General features: G+C 37.2%; 1 protein-coding gene across 4 annotated transcripts in view; it reads left to right on the top strand.

Annotated features, from left to right (window-relative positions):
* The window catches only part of WDR49 (WD repeat domain 49), a 179,240-nt gene that overhangs the window by 79,318 nt on the left and 83,280 nt on the right, over positions 1 to 16,642 (top strand). For all 4 annotated transcript variants that reach the window (NM_001348951.2, NM_001366158.1, NM_001348952.2 and 1 more), the window contains one exon: positions 2,455 to 2,688. In NM_001348951.2, coding sequence (NP_001335880.1) covers positions 2,455 to 2,688 — 234 coding nt within the window. The remainder of the gene's footprint in view (positions 1 to 2,454; positions 2,689 to 16,642) is intronic.

The raw sequence follows: 16,642 nt of genomic DNA, 5'->3' as shown, positions 1-16,642 counted from the left end.
ATTTAAAATAATAACAATAGGACTAAAAAAATTAACATGCTAACTTGGGAGAAATGGGAGGAGAAAGGGAGAAAAGGAGTATTAGTAATTTTTCTTCTTCTTTCTGAGTCACTAGATATAGTTGTATAAAAATATATACACCACACACATATATACACACACATGTGTGCACAATTATATTATTTAGTGTTGTGGAAAAAAATCATAAACAAGAAAGAGTAAAAGAGTAAAAGAAGGCCATCTCTAAGGATTGGGACTAGGGGTAGAATATATGGCTTGAGATAAAAGCCCTCTGGTGCTATTTGACTTTATACAATGGACGCATCTTACCATGGTTTTTAAAAGTAAACAAGGGCTGGATGACTACCCTCCCCTAGAGAGAAAGTGGAAACAAAGACATTGAGAGAATCAAGAGGCCACCATGGTAGGTGGTAGTGAGATCTGAAAACTGATATTGAAATGGTTGAAAGAATTGGGATCATTTAACCTGGAGAAAAGGGGTAAGAGGAAGCTTATGCAGGTGTGAGAAGAAGGTAGGATAGAATGAAAAGGTAGAAGAAGATTTCTTTGGCTGAATATATTTAATAATTACTGTAGGGATTCCTATCTTGTAGATTCCTAGGACCTGTTAGTATGTTTGTGAGGTGTGTCTATGTACCCAAATAAATTATATGTAAAATTGTACATATATATGGCTGTGGGCATTTGATGAGTTGGGATAGAACCATCATTTTCAATAGATTTTTTTCCCAAAGCAGTGTATGATTTAAAATAGGTTAAAAACTATAAGGTTGCCTGCCTTATGGGGCAATAAGGACTCATCTAAACAGAAACTATCTTTTATAGATAATTTAGAAATAATTTTCATGTTGGATAGACTAGTTTATTTGAAATATTGTTTTCTGCTTTTAGGTTCTAATATTTACACAATGAAAAAATAAAATAGACATAATAATAAGGAACATTCATTGAACGCATTACAGGCTGGTCATCATGTTAAGTGCTTGACATAGACTCTCATTTAATTCTCATAGCATTAGGTGAGGTAGACACTACATTAAAAACTCAGATTAAAAAAAAAACTTATTGGAGGTCCCCCTGTTAGTAAGGAACAGAACTGAGATTAGAACCCAGGAAATCTGACCCTAGGTTACAGAGATAGGGTTAAGATAAAAGCCCTGTGGTGATTTTTGATTTTGTACAACAGATACATTCTACATGTTTTTTAAAAGTAAACAAGGTCTTGATGACTTGCCTGATACCCCCTTTTGGAGAGGTTTTTCACTCCCTCAGTAGCCTGTTAATTCTGTACCACTACTGATAGCACCAACACTCACACCTGTGAAGCTCATCTTTCTGTTTTCTTCCTGGGACACTTAGTGTGACTCACCCTCTTTGAAATGAAGGGAGCCATGAGAAAATAGAAGAAAAGGAAAAACAATTTTTTAATGTCTATTGAATCTAAAGCAACCTATTTCTTGAGCAAGGATTTAGTGTTTGCCCTCTACTATCCATTGGTAAATGCATGTCATTTATGTGTCTTGAAGGTGTTTGAATAAGAATTTAATATCTGTGGTTATATGAACTTGACCTCATTTAATGCCACTTCTTTTATTTTACCAAAAATACATATATACATATATACACATACATACATATGTATACATATATATCTATCCACACATATATAGATACATGTATCTACACACACATATATACATATATATGTATACACACATGTATATATAGACAGACGGAGAGAGAACTGTATTAGTTTTCTATTGCTAGTGTAATACATGAGCACAAACTTAGTAGCTTGAAACAGCACAAATTTATTTTGTGTTCTGTAGGTTGGAATTTGACATGAGTCTCATCCTTTCTGGTGGCTCTGGGGGAGAAACCATTCCTTTGTCTTTTCAAGCTTCCTTGGATCATGGCCCTCTTCAAAGCCAGCAAGACTAGGAAGAGTCCTCATATTGCACCACTCTGATCATTTTTCTGCCTCCCTCTTTCACATTTAAAGACCCTTATGATTGGACTCACCCAAATAATCCAGGACAATCTCACCATCTCAAAGTCCCTAATTTAGTCATATCTGCAGAATCTCTTTTGCCACCTAAGATAACATATTCACAGGTTCTGGGAATTAGGACATGGACATCTTTGGGGGACTACTATTCTGCCTACAACAAACACTTACTAAATGCCAAGCCTTATACCAGGGACTGAAATAGAACCCAACCCCTTTCCTAGAGGAGCTTACAATTTAGGAGATATTTAAACAGGTGACTGAAATACAAAATAATAGGTGCTATGGCAGAATTGAGAACCAATTATAGCACTGTGGAGGAAACAACTGTCTGCCTGGTATTGAGGGTGAGCTAGAAAAAAAATTGGCTAAAAGATTACAATTATCTTTGACATATTGAAATGATTTTATCACTTTTCATCCAGGTTTTGAGACTCTGGGATATTCAACACCAGCTGTCCATCCAGAGGATAGCTTGTTCTTTCCCCAAAAGTCAGGACTTCAGATGTCTCTTCCACTTTGATGAAGCCCATGGACGACTTTTCATCTCGTTTAATAACCAGCTAGCATTGTTGGCAATGAAAAGTGAAGCCAGCAAGAGGGTGAAAAGCCATGAGAAAGCAGTCACTTGTGTTCTTTACAATTCTATCTTGAAGCAGGTAATGATGCTTTCTTTTCTTTCACTCTCCTAACATATCTCCAAGTCCAGAGGCTCATTTACTTAATTCAGTTTAAGGTAAAATGAAAGACAAATATAGTAAAGGCAAATATGGGAAGAAATGATTTAATAGCCATGTGCTTTTCTGCAATAATATACATTCAGGTGGACTTGGAGAATGATTTCATTTTCAGCCAGTGACCACAGGAGCAGTGATAGAGTTATAAGGAATTACAGCATTCCAGCTAAAACAAAACAACCTGTAATATAATTGAACTTATCTTTGTTATCTGCTAGTCTTGAGCCAAATGCAAGTGAACCTGCTTGTAAAATTCTATGAACACCATCTTCCGGTATCCCTGTGGAAAGTTCTGAAATATGCATGAAACATAATTAGCAGAGATCCATTTTGCCAGCATATTTTACACCAGTGGTTCACAGTGGCAGCCCAGAATGTATTCATAATAAAATGATTCAGTTAAACATGATGCCACTTGGTATGCAGCACAAGTGTTGTTTGTCTCCCCACCAGTTTAATGACGCTCCGCAGCCTTGGCTTAGGGGACCACTACCTGCATCTCAATGAAGAAGCAGGGCTCCCCTGGAGCAGAGTTACTGCGCAGACCACAGCCCTTCTTGGAGGACAGGGCGGCCCAGGCAGTGAAGCCAGTGAGCTCAGTGTGGGGCAGCCTGTGGGTATCATGAAGGGAGCAAGCAACATCAGAGGTTAGCCTGCTGCAGTGATCCCGTCAGGCCTGATGGTAACAGCACAGCAGGAGCCAAGCAGAAGCAAGTCTCCAGCTTACAGCCAATTAAACAGTAACTCAATCCATTCTTTCTTTTCCCTTCTGCAGAAGCTTCTGCATTCACATAGAAATGACTAGTGGAGATTTTGCGCAAGGGGTGGAAAGCCCTTTGTTAGTAATGGGTAGTGTGTCGTGTCACTATTTAAAACACTGTTTTCTGGTTATTCTAGGAGATAAAATCATTTAGAAAACAACTCATTTTGAATTCCATCTGCGGGAAAACATTTCCTGCTAAATGTTTTACTGATCTTTATGAAGGCAACCAGTTAATTTGACTCCCTGGTGGCCACTGAGAGATGTATTTGCTTCCAAGAGAACATTCTCCTAATTGAGATCTGCAAAGTTAAAATGCTAAATTTGTGTGTAGATGTTAAAATCCTATGTTGCCTGGCCATAAGATGAGCAATATTCCCTGAGAAATTCAGGAAATTAGACACAAAGAAGATCTGGATTTATTTGGGGCATAAAGACAAAGCCAAGGTAACTCACATGCATGCCACTTATAGGCAACCAAAGGACAATGTACATATGGTATATGATGTAGGATGTATCATTATACAATTGAGTTGAGTATTTACACCTCTACTTGCTGTGAATAACATAAATAATGATAAGCATTGATATGTATGTAAAGCACATAGAGCTGTGTATCACATACATCAGCATTTCCTATTAGCTGCTGAGTTACAGAAACATGAACATTGTATGTGTTACATTTATAATTATAAAAATGTATTGCAGAAAAGTACAAAGAAAATATCACTCACATTCCCATCAGTCAGTGATAACTTATCATTTTAGAGTAATTAGACAAAGCAAATAACACAGTTTTGAACAAGTGTCGTACCAAGAATGAAGAATTAGAGATAATAAACTATAGTTTCTTGCCCCCAGTAGCTCAGGAAGATTCAACTCTTTAAGGGAAAATCTGGGTCCTAACCATAGTGCTGATGATTGTTGGACAGGTGCTCATCACAGGATTGTGGAATGAAAGAAGGGAAGGGAGACATATTACTAACAAGAAACAGTAGAACATAGTAAAATGAAGTAGAGGTAAAAACCGAAGTGCTTTTTATGGAGAGTGATCAATTCTGCCTGAGGCCAGTGTTGGTCACATTTCAGCAGAGCCCTGAAAGCTAACATCTCTAAAAGGAGGAGGAAGTAGTTCCAGACAGAAGATACAACGTGAGCACCTGCAAAGAAGCTTGAGCACTCACGGTGCATTTTTGGAGAGAGGGTTTATTTTGGTGTGGCAAGTTTGGGAATACTTTGCAGACATCGTGGGAGTTAAAGCAGTAAAGGGATCTTAGGAGCATATTGACGGCCATTTGTTGAATGTATCACTGTCTGGTCTTGGAAACATAAAGCATAGAATTGAGATTAAAACAATGTTTTTCACAGTGTGATCTTGGACCTCTGGGAGACTCAGATTCTCTCAGGGAATCTGGGAGGTCAAAATTATTTTCATCATAATATTAATTTATTGTTTGCTTTCTAAACTTTCACTCTCTCAAAAGTGTACAGTGGAGTTTTCTAGAGGCTGCATGATGTGTGTTGTGTGATAACAGCATTGTTCTTATGGCTAAGGGAATGTGTGCTCTTATATTCTTGTGTTTTAATGTCTCCCTATAAATATCTAATATGGTAAATAAGTATAAAAATACAGATCTATCTATTTGTGTTGTGTGTGTGTGTGTGTGTGTGTGTGTGTGTGTGTGTGTATTCCACATAAAGCTATTTGGATTCTTCAATACTTTTTAAGAATGCAAAGGAATCCCAAGACCAAAAGTTTTCAGAACTGCTGGGTTGGAAACATGTGAATTCAAATACTGGACAGACTGCTTAGCCTGTCTGAGCTTTAGTTTGCCAGCTTCTTAAAATGTGTGTGTCTGTGGGGGTGTAGGAATAGTAATGGGAATAGCACGTGCCTCCCTGGCATTGCCTTGTTAGGACTGAAATCTTGGAAGTGTCCTCTTGTCTCCCATGCTGCCAGCCCTGTAAGGGTCTTTAAAGTCCCCCATACCAAAGAGGGCGAATGTTGCTGCTTTATGACATCTCCTTTTCTTATTAACTTCTTAAGATTCCTTAATCTTTATTTTAACAATGTGGCATGTGATGACAAATGTTAGGAAGAATTAGAAAGGGGAGGGTACCCTGAACTGCAGTTTTTCCCTACCTCTGCTTCTCCTCAGGAATGTCCCTTGAGGTGGGAAAGTTGTTTATCCTCCTCCTTCTCTTCTTCGCCATTGCAGTTTCGTCTTGTAAACATTTAGTGGCAAGACTCAGCTTTGGTCCTCAGCTCCCTGAAGTCTCCAGAGCCATCTCAACCCACACTTACTTCTCCTCTTCCTGAGCATTGGTCGCATTTTTTAGTTGTTTTCCCAGTAAAACACTTAACTAAACTTATTTCTCTCTCTTCCTATGTTTTTGGTGTGAGGGGAAGATCCTTTTGTTCCATTTTTGTATTTTCCCACAGCTCCTAACACTGTTCTGAGCACAAAATGAATGCTCGACTACTAGACATAATAAATTATTGCCATTTTTCATCCCAAGTGTAACAGAAAGCAATGCTTTTTCAGCCCATGGTCTCTTGATCTTTGGTTATTTGGCTTGGTGTCTTTCTTGAACATTTTCCCTTTGCTTGAATTTAATGAAAACCTTCCCTTGTGTTGTTATTTCAACATGTTGCCTACACTTTATTATTTCCTTGTATTTGGACTTCAGTGGGGACCCAATATAATTCCTATATAAAAGCAGCTTGGAACATTTCCGTGACTTTTATTTATCTTCCTGTCTTTTGATACCCTTGAATCCTAGTCTGGGAAAGTGATGTTAAGCCATGCAAAGCCTTTTAAAGGAAATCATATACTTTATTTCACCTGGCAAAGTTTGCCCTCACAGCCAGCAGCAGAGCAAGTTGGGACTGGATGAAGGAGTCCCCTGGAATGTACAATTTTGAAAGAATTAAAGCAATCCAATATCCTGGAGGCAGATCTAATGAACCATCTTTGCACTTAGTTCTTAAATGAAGCTTTTTACAAGAAAACAAAAGAACACTCATGAATTTAGGAAACTTTAAAACATGTATTTCTAGACATAGAAACTAGAATAGATAATATACTTGTGTTATCACTATGATTCTCATCCTAATGATGTAGGTTGATGTATTTTTGTAAAATAGATAATGTTTCAGTTTGTTGGGAACCTTGGACACATTTATAATCAAGGTAGACATTTAGGTGTCATCAAATTTTAATAGAGTAAATGGTATTTACAATTTTTCTTATCAAAATAACTTTTTTTGGTAATTGCATGCAAAATGTTACATGATTATTGTAAGAAATTAAAGCAATGCAGTAAAGCTCAAATACAAAACTATTGCTGATATCAACATATTCTAAACATCTTTCTCTGCATAGACTATTTTACGTAAACAAGGCTCTGTAACATACTTTTCTATTCAATAATATGTTAGAATATATTTCCTTGAGGCTAAATGTAGAACTACTTTATCATTTTTAAAAGGCAGCATAGTAGCCCATTCTATATATGTATCGTAATTTACTGATCCATTTCCCTTGATGTAGACTTCACTATTATGACTTTTTTGTAGATAAATACATTTATATTTATGACTATATCTCTTCAAGGTAAATTCTTAGGAGTAAGTTTCTAGGCTAAAGGATATGCAATATCAGATAATTTGATAAATAAATTGCCCCCTAGAATCTTACTTTTTTATCCTGCTTCTAACCTCTAATATATTAATCACATACTTGGTTACATGAAGAGATAGGTCAGACAGTGCTCACCTGGCTTATTCCAAGAGATCTCCTGAGATTCTCTGTGGGGTTTTTCATAATCCAGAAGCATGCTGGCTTTGCAAATTTGAATACTAGACCCTCTTCACTTTATCTGGAGTGATGCTGTTTCTTGAGGCTTGATTATTATACTATCTACAAACTGCCAAATTATTTATTAAAAATGGGGGCTGGTCCAGGTCACAGCCATAGAGTGGTGCCCTTACCTTTGGTTGCTTCAACATTCACTGACAAGCAAATATTTACCATCTTTTTTTTTTTTTTTTTGAGATGGAGTCTCTCTCTGTCGCCCAAGCTAGAGTGAAGTGGTGCTATCTCGGCTCACCGCAACCTCCGCCTCCTGGGTTCCTACCTCAACCTCCTGAGTAGCTGGGATTACAGGTGTGCGCCACCATGCCCGGCTACTTTTCACGTTTTTAGTAGAGACATGGTTTCACCATGTTGGTCAGGCTGGTCTCGAACTCCTGACCTCGTGATCCACCTGCCTTGGCTTCCCAAAGTGCTGGGATTGCAGGCGTGAGCCACTGCATCCGGCCTTATCATCATTTAATTGCAGCTTTTTGTTTCTTTGCTGTGACACAATATAAAAATATACCAAAGGTAAACACTAAAAAACTTTCCTGTTAAAAAATTCCATTATGTATACATGTATAGCATCTGTACAAAGTTATTATCTATGCCATCATATTCAAAATTTTATAGTAAACTTTTCCACCCTTAACCTTATTTACAATTTATAGTTACCTTATCTTAATTTAGATTATTGCAGTCCAAACAGCTCTATGTATACATATGCATATCCAAAATTTATAATAAACATGTGGCCTTCCATTATTTAAAAAATGAGGGATGAGGTATAATTTTCTCTTGATAGCATATCTTTTGTCCTCTTTTCTGCACATAATTTTTTGGAAATTGAGGGTATTTGGGAATCCAAACAATTCAATTGGTGGTTCCCTTGGTAATTGTAAAATTGGAGAAAAGAGGACAGGCTTGAGGGAAATTTATCTCCATCGTACAAGACAGTCTACCTTTTCAGGGCTTACATTTAGTGCAAAATCCATGAGTTTCTTTTTTGAACAGAACCAGATTTACACAATGAAAATTTTCTCCTTTCCTGCCTCTTTGCTGGGCACCAAGTGACATCCATTCTGTTAATACAGTTGTGATTTTTTTTTTTTTGGCTAGCTTAAAGCTGTAATTGGTTATATGTCAGTTCTGAGGCTGTGTGCTGTAGTCACTTGATGGAAACATAAGAAGTTACTAGTTTTAGAGGTTATACTAAAACATACATGTACATGCACACATACATGTACGAACAGATACACATTTATTTAATGTGATTAGTTTGGAAGAAATAACGTGTTTACATGTTGAAAAATTCAAAACAACAAAAAGATAGGTGGCATATATTTTCTCTTATCTTCATGCCACTGCCTACTCAGTTTCCTGTCCTGTAGACAACGAGTTTTACGACTTCCACAATGTTTAAGGGCTATTCTACTCTTAAACAAGTGAATATATATTTTTCTTTATATAGACAGTTGATCCTTCAACATCACTGGTTTGAACTGCGAGGGGGCACTGTATCTGATTTTTTTTTTTTTTTTTGCTGTGTCCAGGCTGGAGTGTAGTGGCATGATCATGGCTCGCTGCAGCCTTGAACTCCTGGCCTCAGGTGACTGTCCTGCCTCAGCTTCCTGAGTAGCTGGGATTACAGGCATAGGCACTGTGCCCAGCTCCACATGGATTTTTAAAAATGAATATATTGGAACTTTTTTTGGATATTTGCAACAATTTAAAAAAATACAGATACATTGCCCAGAAATATAAAAAAATCAAGAAAATATTATACATAGAATGAATGCATAAAAGATACGTATGTACTAGCCTATTTTATTAGTTAGTACAATAAAATATACACAAATCTATTACAAAAAGTTAAAATGTATCAAAACTTACGTATTCAAACACAGACTTGCAGTCAAGAGAAATGTAAACAAAAAGATACAGTATTAAATCATAACTGTGTAAAATTAACTGTAATACAGGCTGGGTGCAGTGGCTCATGCCTGTAATCCCAGCACTTTGGGAGGCCAAGGAGGGCGGATCACGAGGTCAGGAGTTCAAGACCAGCCTGGCCAACATGGTAAAACCCCATCTCTACTAAAAATACGAAAAAATTAGCCAGGTGTGGTGGTGGGTGCCTGTAATCCCAGCTACTCAGGAGGCGGAGGCAGAGAATTGCTTGAACCTGGGAGCCAGAGGTTACAGTGAGCTAAGATAGCACCACCGCACTCCAACCTGGGCGACAGAGCAAGACTCTTGTCTCAAAAAAAAAAAAAAATTAACTGTAGTACATACTGCACTGCTGCAATGATTTCATAGCCACCCCCTGTTGCTGTTGTGGTGAGCTCAAGTGTTGCATTTGTTTAAAATGCCATGTGATACTTATCTCCAAATGAGCAGTTGCTCTCTACATTAAATTACCCATCTCAGTAAAATGTGATCTCTTGAGCTGCTTGCATATTTCTTATCTTGTTTATTGCAGTACCATAAACTTTGAATAATATCATGGAACTCATAAGAAGTGCCACTAGGGATGCTGTGAGTACTACCAAGAAGCAGAGAAAACTCATGGCATTGCAAGAAAAAGTTGATTTGCTTGATATGTACCATAGGTTGAGGTCTGCAGCTGTGGTTGCTTGCCATTTCAATATAAATGAATCCAGCATTAGGACCACCATAAAAAAAGAAAAAGAAATTAATGAAACCACTGCCGTAGTTACACCAGCAGGTGAAAAAACCATATACTTTTTTTGTGAAATACCTTTTTACCTCGTATTGAAAATACAGGTCTTATGTGGGTGCAGGTTGCTATAAGAAAGGCATACCTATAGACTAATATGATTAGAGAATGAGCAGTTATTATACAATAATTTAAAGCAAAAGAAAGGTGAAATATCTAAAGCTGGGGAATTTAATGCCAGCAAAGGATAGTTTGATAACTTTAGAAAATAATTTGGTACAAAAAATACCAAAATAACAGGAGGAGCAGATTCTGCCAATCAAGAAGCTGCAAATGAGTTCCCAGACACAATTAAGGAAATAATTGAGAAGAAAGGATTGCTGCCTGAACAAATTTTTTAAGCAGATGAAAATGCCTTTGTTCTGAAAAGAAAAACGCCACAAAGGATGTTTATTAATAAAGAAGAGAAGCAAGCATCAGGATTTAAGGCAGGAAGGGATAGACCAACTCTGTTATTTTGTGCAAATGCAGCCAGGTTTATGATCAGGACAGCACTTGTCTATAAAGCTGCTAACCTCTGAGCCTGAAATGGAAAAGACAAACATCAGCTGCTATTCTTTTGGCTGTACAACATGAAGGCCTGGACAATGAGAATGTTTTTTTCTGAACTGGTTCCTTCAATACTTTGTCCTTGAAGTCAGGAAGCACCTTACCAGTAAGAGACTGCTTTTTAAAGTTCTTTTGATATTAGACAATGCCCCTGGCCCCACAGAATCTTATGATTTCAAGACTAAAGGCATCAAAGTGATCTACTTGCCCCCAAACACGACATCTTTAAATTAGCCTCTAGACAAGGGGGGTCATGAGGGCCTTTAAGGCTCATTACACATGGTACTGGTACTTTATGAAAAGGACCGTCAATGCTATGGAAAAGAATCAGAGTAGAGAGAACGTCATGAAAGCCTGGAAGGCTCACACCATTGAAGATGCCATCATTGTTATAGAAAAAGTCATGAGAGCCCTCAAACCTGAAACAATAAATTCCTGCTGAAGAAAACTGTGTCCACGTGTTGCACATGACTTCACAGGATCTACAACAGAGCCAATCAAGGAAATCATGAAAGAGACTGTGAACATGGCAAAAAAGGTGGGAATGGGGAAGAGGTGAAGGGTTTCAAGATATGAATTTTGGGGAAATTCAAGATGTGATAAACACTAAATCAGAGGAATGAACAGAAGATGACTTGATGAAGATGAGTGCTTTCAAACAGGTGACTGAGAAAGAAGACATAGAAGAAGCAGTGCCAGAAAACAAAGGGACGTTAGACAATAATGGACATTAGACAATCTGGCAGAAGCGTTCTGATTATTCAAGACTGCTTTTGACTTATTTTATGGCATAGACCTTTCTACACTATGGGCACTGAAACTAAAGCAAATATTGGAAGAGGGATTGGTACTGTTTGGAAACATTTTTAGAGAAAAGAAAGAGCAAAAAGTCCGACAGAAATTACAATATATTTCTGTGAAGTTACACCAAGTGTGCCCACCTCTCCTGACCTCCTGCCTCCCTTTCCACCTCCTCCACCTCTTTGGTCTCTGTCACCCCGAGACAGTAAGTCCAACCCTTTCTTTTCCTCCTCCTCAGCCTTCTCAATGTGAAGACGACACGAATGAAGACCCTTATGATAATTGACTTCCACTCAATAAATAGTAAGTATATTTTCTCTTTCTTATAATTTTCTTAATAACATTTTCTTTTCTCTAGCTTACTTTGTTGTAAGAATACAGTATGTAGTAACTCTTACATACAAAATGTGTGTTAATCAACTGTTTATGTTATCAGTAAGGCTTCTGGTCAACGGTAGAATATGAGTACTTAAGTTTTTTTGGGATCGACATTATACATGAATTTTTAACTGTGTGGCAGGTAGGCATCTCTAACCCCCATGTTGTTGCAGCGTAAACTTATTCTTTGAAATAGATATGTAATATTTAATAACTCAATATTTAAGAATATATATTATTTTATAGGCTTTTTTTACAAAAATGAGAGCATTTTATATGTACGAACTGCTTTGTACATTGCTTTTATACGTAACAATACATCCTAAAGATAGTTTTATCTCATTACCTAAAGAGTAACCTTGTCCATTTTCACAGATGCATAGTATTTCATTGCATGCATATTCCAAACTTTGAGCATTTAGGTTGGTTCCAGCAGTTTTTGTTACAAATAATGTAGCAGTTTTTCACCTTGTCCTTAGAACTCTGCACTGATGAGAAAATATCTATAGGATAAATTCCTATAGTTAGAATTATTGGGGCAGAGAATATTTACATCTGTAATCTTGACGAATATTGCCAAATGCTCTCCATAAAGCTACACTAAACCAGCGTAGGAGAGGACCATTTCCTCAGCCTCTTTCATCATCACAGTCTCAACTGTTTTTAGAAGTAGATTTTTAGAATAAGAGAATTGGTAGAGTTTCAGAGTCAGGCAGAGTTCTCAGTACTTTACACAGAGTGGGTGATTCAATTCCTCTAAGTTTCAGCTTTCTTATCTATAAAATACTAATTATAATACATCCCTTGTAGAATTTTTGTTAAGAACAAATGATCTTATATATAAAGATACATGAAATAAAGCAAGGGTAAATGCTAATTAATATTAGTGAAAAAGAGGAAAGTTTTTTTTTTCTACTTTTGAAATTTGTTCCCTAGTTCTTATGGGAGTTTGGTAGTTTTGGATTGTTTTGAATCTCTGTGCACTGACCGCAGGCAATGGCTCCTCCCTTCCCTCACACTGCTTAAGCCTTGCTGGCTTCCTTGCTATTCCTTGAATGTGCCAAGGACACTGTGCCTCAGGGCCTTTGCACTGCTGTTTCCTTTGTTTGCAGCTCTTTTCACCCAAGTATCTGGTTGGCTTACTTCTTCATCTCAGTTATGTCTCTACAAATGATTCCTCAGGGAGACCTTCCCAGATTCCCCAATTTTGCACCTATGACAAAAGCCCTCTGCTTCCTTCTTAGCTATATTTTCCTCCATAACCTTTGTTACCACCAAACATCATATATATATATACACACACACACTATATTACATATATACACATGCATTTTACATATAAGTGTGTGTGTGTGTGTGTGTGTGTGTGTGTGTAGATAGATATGCTTTTTTTTTTTTCTGATCTTGTTGCCTCTCTCCCTGGACAAAATGCAAGAGCAGAACTTATTCACTGCTGGATCACCAGTGTCTAGATCTAGGGCCTTGCATATTACAGGTATTCAGTACATTCAAATAATGAATTTGAAAGAGCAAATTACCAATTAATTGAAGAAGAGAAAAAATCCACTAAGCAAGGTTTATAACTAAAGAATGGCTGCCCTAAAATATTTGAATAATTTGTACTTGTACTCTGAGATATCATCATTCTCTTCACCTCCCTATTCACTGAAATGTAACTTCTAGAGATTTTCTACAAAATGGAAATAAAGGAAGTAACCTATTTTATATTATAGGACCATAAACAACACTAACAAAAAAAAATTATAAACAGCAATGGAATCAAGTATCTCAACCCTCTGTTAGCTCGTGGCATTTGCTGCTGTAATTTTTGATTCCTGTTTTTTTTTTCTTAGACCCAGGACTTGAAATGCACATAAAAGACAACTAAAGTGCCTACTGTTATTGGAATAGCAATAAGACAATTAGGTGACATGAATACAGCCTCACATGTCTTAGAATTGTCTGATTAGCTCTGACAGCTTCAGATGAGAGAAACAAAAAGGAGACACATATTCCTAAACAGTTATTAACTGAAGCACATGAGAGAGAGACTGTTCTCATCAGAACAACGATCTACTGAGGAGGCCCATGTGTCCTGGAGTGTGGTTGTTAGCACCATTTTCACTCTGCAGACTGTCAGGGCCCCGTCCTCATCAGCTGAAGTCTAGCCTGATAAGAGATAATCAGAAATAAACTGCAAACTTAAAGAGATTTGGTATCATTAAAAGGTGGCATAGACATGTGACGCCAAGACTTATTCCTGGGCTTTATTGCTGATGAAAACAACTTGCCAAAAATAGTTCCATTGTCGTGTAGTGAATCCATTTTCTTCATCTGCCAAGTAATGTTAAATGCACTCCTCTTTCACTAAACTTTGAACGCCCTTTCCCCTATATTGTTATTCTTGTATTCCAATATTGTCATAGTGAGAGTAGATTCTGGCTAATACTGGTTGGATGTTTGAGACATAGTCAGTTTCAACACATTGTTTTCCTGCAAACTGCACCGTGAGGCCGACTGCCATAAAATGAAATCAGACTAGCTATATGCTGTTGTCATGACTGACTTAGATTTCACGAGAAATTGTTAAATAAGCAGAGAAAGGTGACAAAAACTGATGAATAGTATGTTGGGGCTCAGTCAGGTGGGCAGGGGAAAGAGTACAAAATGGCAAAAAGTGAACATTACTAATTCCTCATTGAGTATCTACGTTAGATAACAGTGGTGAATGATTAGATGCTTTGTAATGTGGGTGATGCCCACCCTGAACAGGTAATCAAGTCTTTTCTTTGAACATGGCTCTTTTATTTCTGTTAGGGAAATAAAAAGTATCATCTTTTGGTACTGAAATGGCTAACATATAATAGCTGCTCAGAAAATGCTTTTTAGTACAGCTAGATCAGAAGAATAAGTTCTAGTGTTCTATAGCACTATATGGTGACTACAGTTAACAACAACTTCTTGTGTATTTTCAGATAGCTAGAAGAGTGGATTTTGAATGTTTCAACATAAAGAAATAATACATGTTTAAGGTGATGGATATGCTAATTACCCTGTTTGATCATTATACATCGTGTATGTGTATTGAAATATCACACGGTACCCCATAATTATGTAGTTATTATGCGTCAATTTAAAATAATAAAAACAAACAAATCAATCAATCCAAAAATGTTTTTTAATAGAAATAATAAAATCCTGCACAATCTTTAACCTTTTCTTAAAAGACTACTATCAAAATTTTCACACAAGCTTGGAAAATTACACTTTCATGATTTTATCTGTAATGAATGTAATCCAACTTCCTAAGCACTTCTGTGAGAAATTCACAAGTATAATTCAAAATTTCAATGTGCATCTAAAATCAGGTTTCTTTCTTTTTTTTTTTTTTTTTTTTTTTTGATTCAGAATCTCGCTCTGTAGCCCAGGCTGGAGTGCGGTGGCGCTATCTTGGCTCACTGCAAGCTCCGCCTCCCGGGTTCACGCCCTTCTCCTGCCTCAGCCTCCTGAGTAGCTGGGACTACAGGCACCCGCCACCACGCCTGGCTAATTTTTTGTATTTTTAGTAGAGACGGGGTTTCACCGTGGTCGCTATCTCCTGACTTCGTGATCTGCCCGCCTCGGCCTTCCAAAGTGCTGCAATTACAGGCGTGAGCCACCGCGCCCGGCCCTAAAATCAGGTTTCTAAAATTTAATTGTCTACATTCACTGTCATAGTTGGAGGAAAGCAAGATACTATTTTTCTTAAATTGATTTGGATATGCACAGTGATACAAGCCTAAGTAAGAGGTCAGGCAAATGAAGCTTAGATGGAATAGTAACACTACCTAACTTTTATGATTTATGGCTATGCCATGCACTGTGATAAATGCTTTAAAAATATTAGTTTGTTTAAACATCGTAACAATGGTTTGAAGTAGTTACTATGAATATTTCTGGTTTACAGATGAGGAAGTTGAAGCATAAAAGTAAGTAATGTGCTTGCCCTTAATGTCCGAGGTAGAACAATAGTTAGTGAGGCAGCTGACATTCAAACTTAGGCATCCTGACTCCAGATCCAGTGCTCCTAACAACCATGTATAGTGCACAAACACAATCAAATAGAAACACAGTTAATGACATGGAATGCTAATTAATGTGTTGTTACATTATTTCAAAGATCCAGATCATTTGGTCTTAGAAATTACACAGTAGTTTCACAATGGTAATTCAATATTTAAGGTAATTTTGATTTCACTGAGAGAAAATGTGTAGCATAAATACAGGTTTACTTCATTTAAGAAATTGTCTCATTGAAGTTGTAATTTCAGGAAAAAAAGGGCTAAAAGGATCACATGCTCATTATCAGTTCTTTGTTGAGATACACATGTTGCTAAATCATGGCCCTGTCTTTCAGTTGCTCCCCTCCTTTGTACCCCCAGAACTATTTTGTTAGTTGAGAATCTCTTACCTGGACTAGTCTGAAGCCTCCAAATGGTCCTCCCAAAACCCCAGTTTGTTCTCCACATTGCTGCAAGAAGTATCTTTACAAGCCAACTGACAAAAAACACTGTATTACTCTTTTCCTTATTAAGAACAATAATAATGTTTTTAGCCTTTTGGATTAATCATTGGCCCCCAATGATAATTGATGAAAGCTGTGGGCCCTCTCCCAGTAAAACTGACTTTATAATTACTCAATATTCTTTGGAGCTGCTTACCAGAGATTTCTAAAATTCCATCTTCAGCTTGCCTACTCATTTGATATCCCACCATATTTGTCCCTTCAAATACTCTGCGCTCAGGCTCATT

The sequence above is a fragment of the Homo sapiens genome, chromosome 3, assembly GCF_000001405.40.
Source record: "Homo sapiens chromosome 3, GRCh38.p14 Primary Assembly".
NCBI classification, from domain to species: Eukaryota; Metazoa; Chordata; class Mammalia; order Primates; family Hominidae; genus Homo; species Homo sapiens.
The sequence above is the reverse complement of the archived record's forward strand: the minus strand, read 5'-3'. Positions and strand labels throughout refer to the sequence as shown.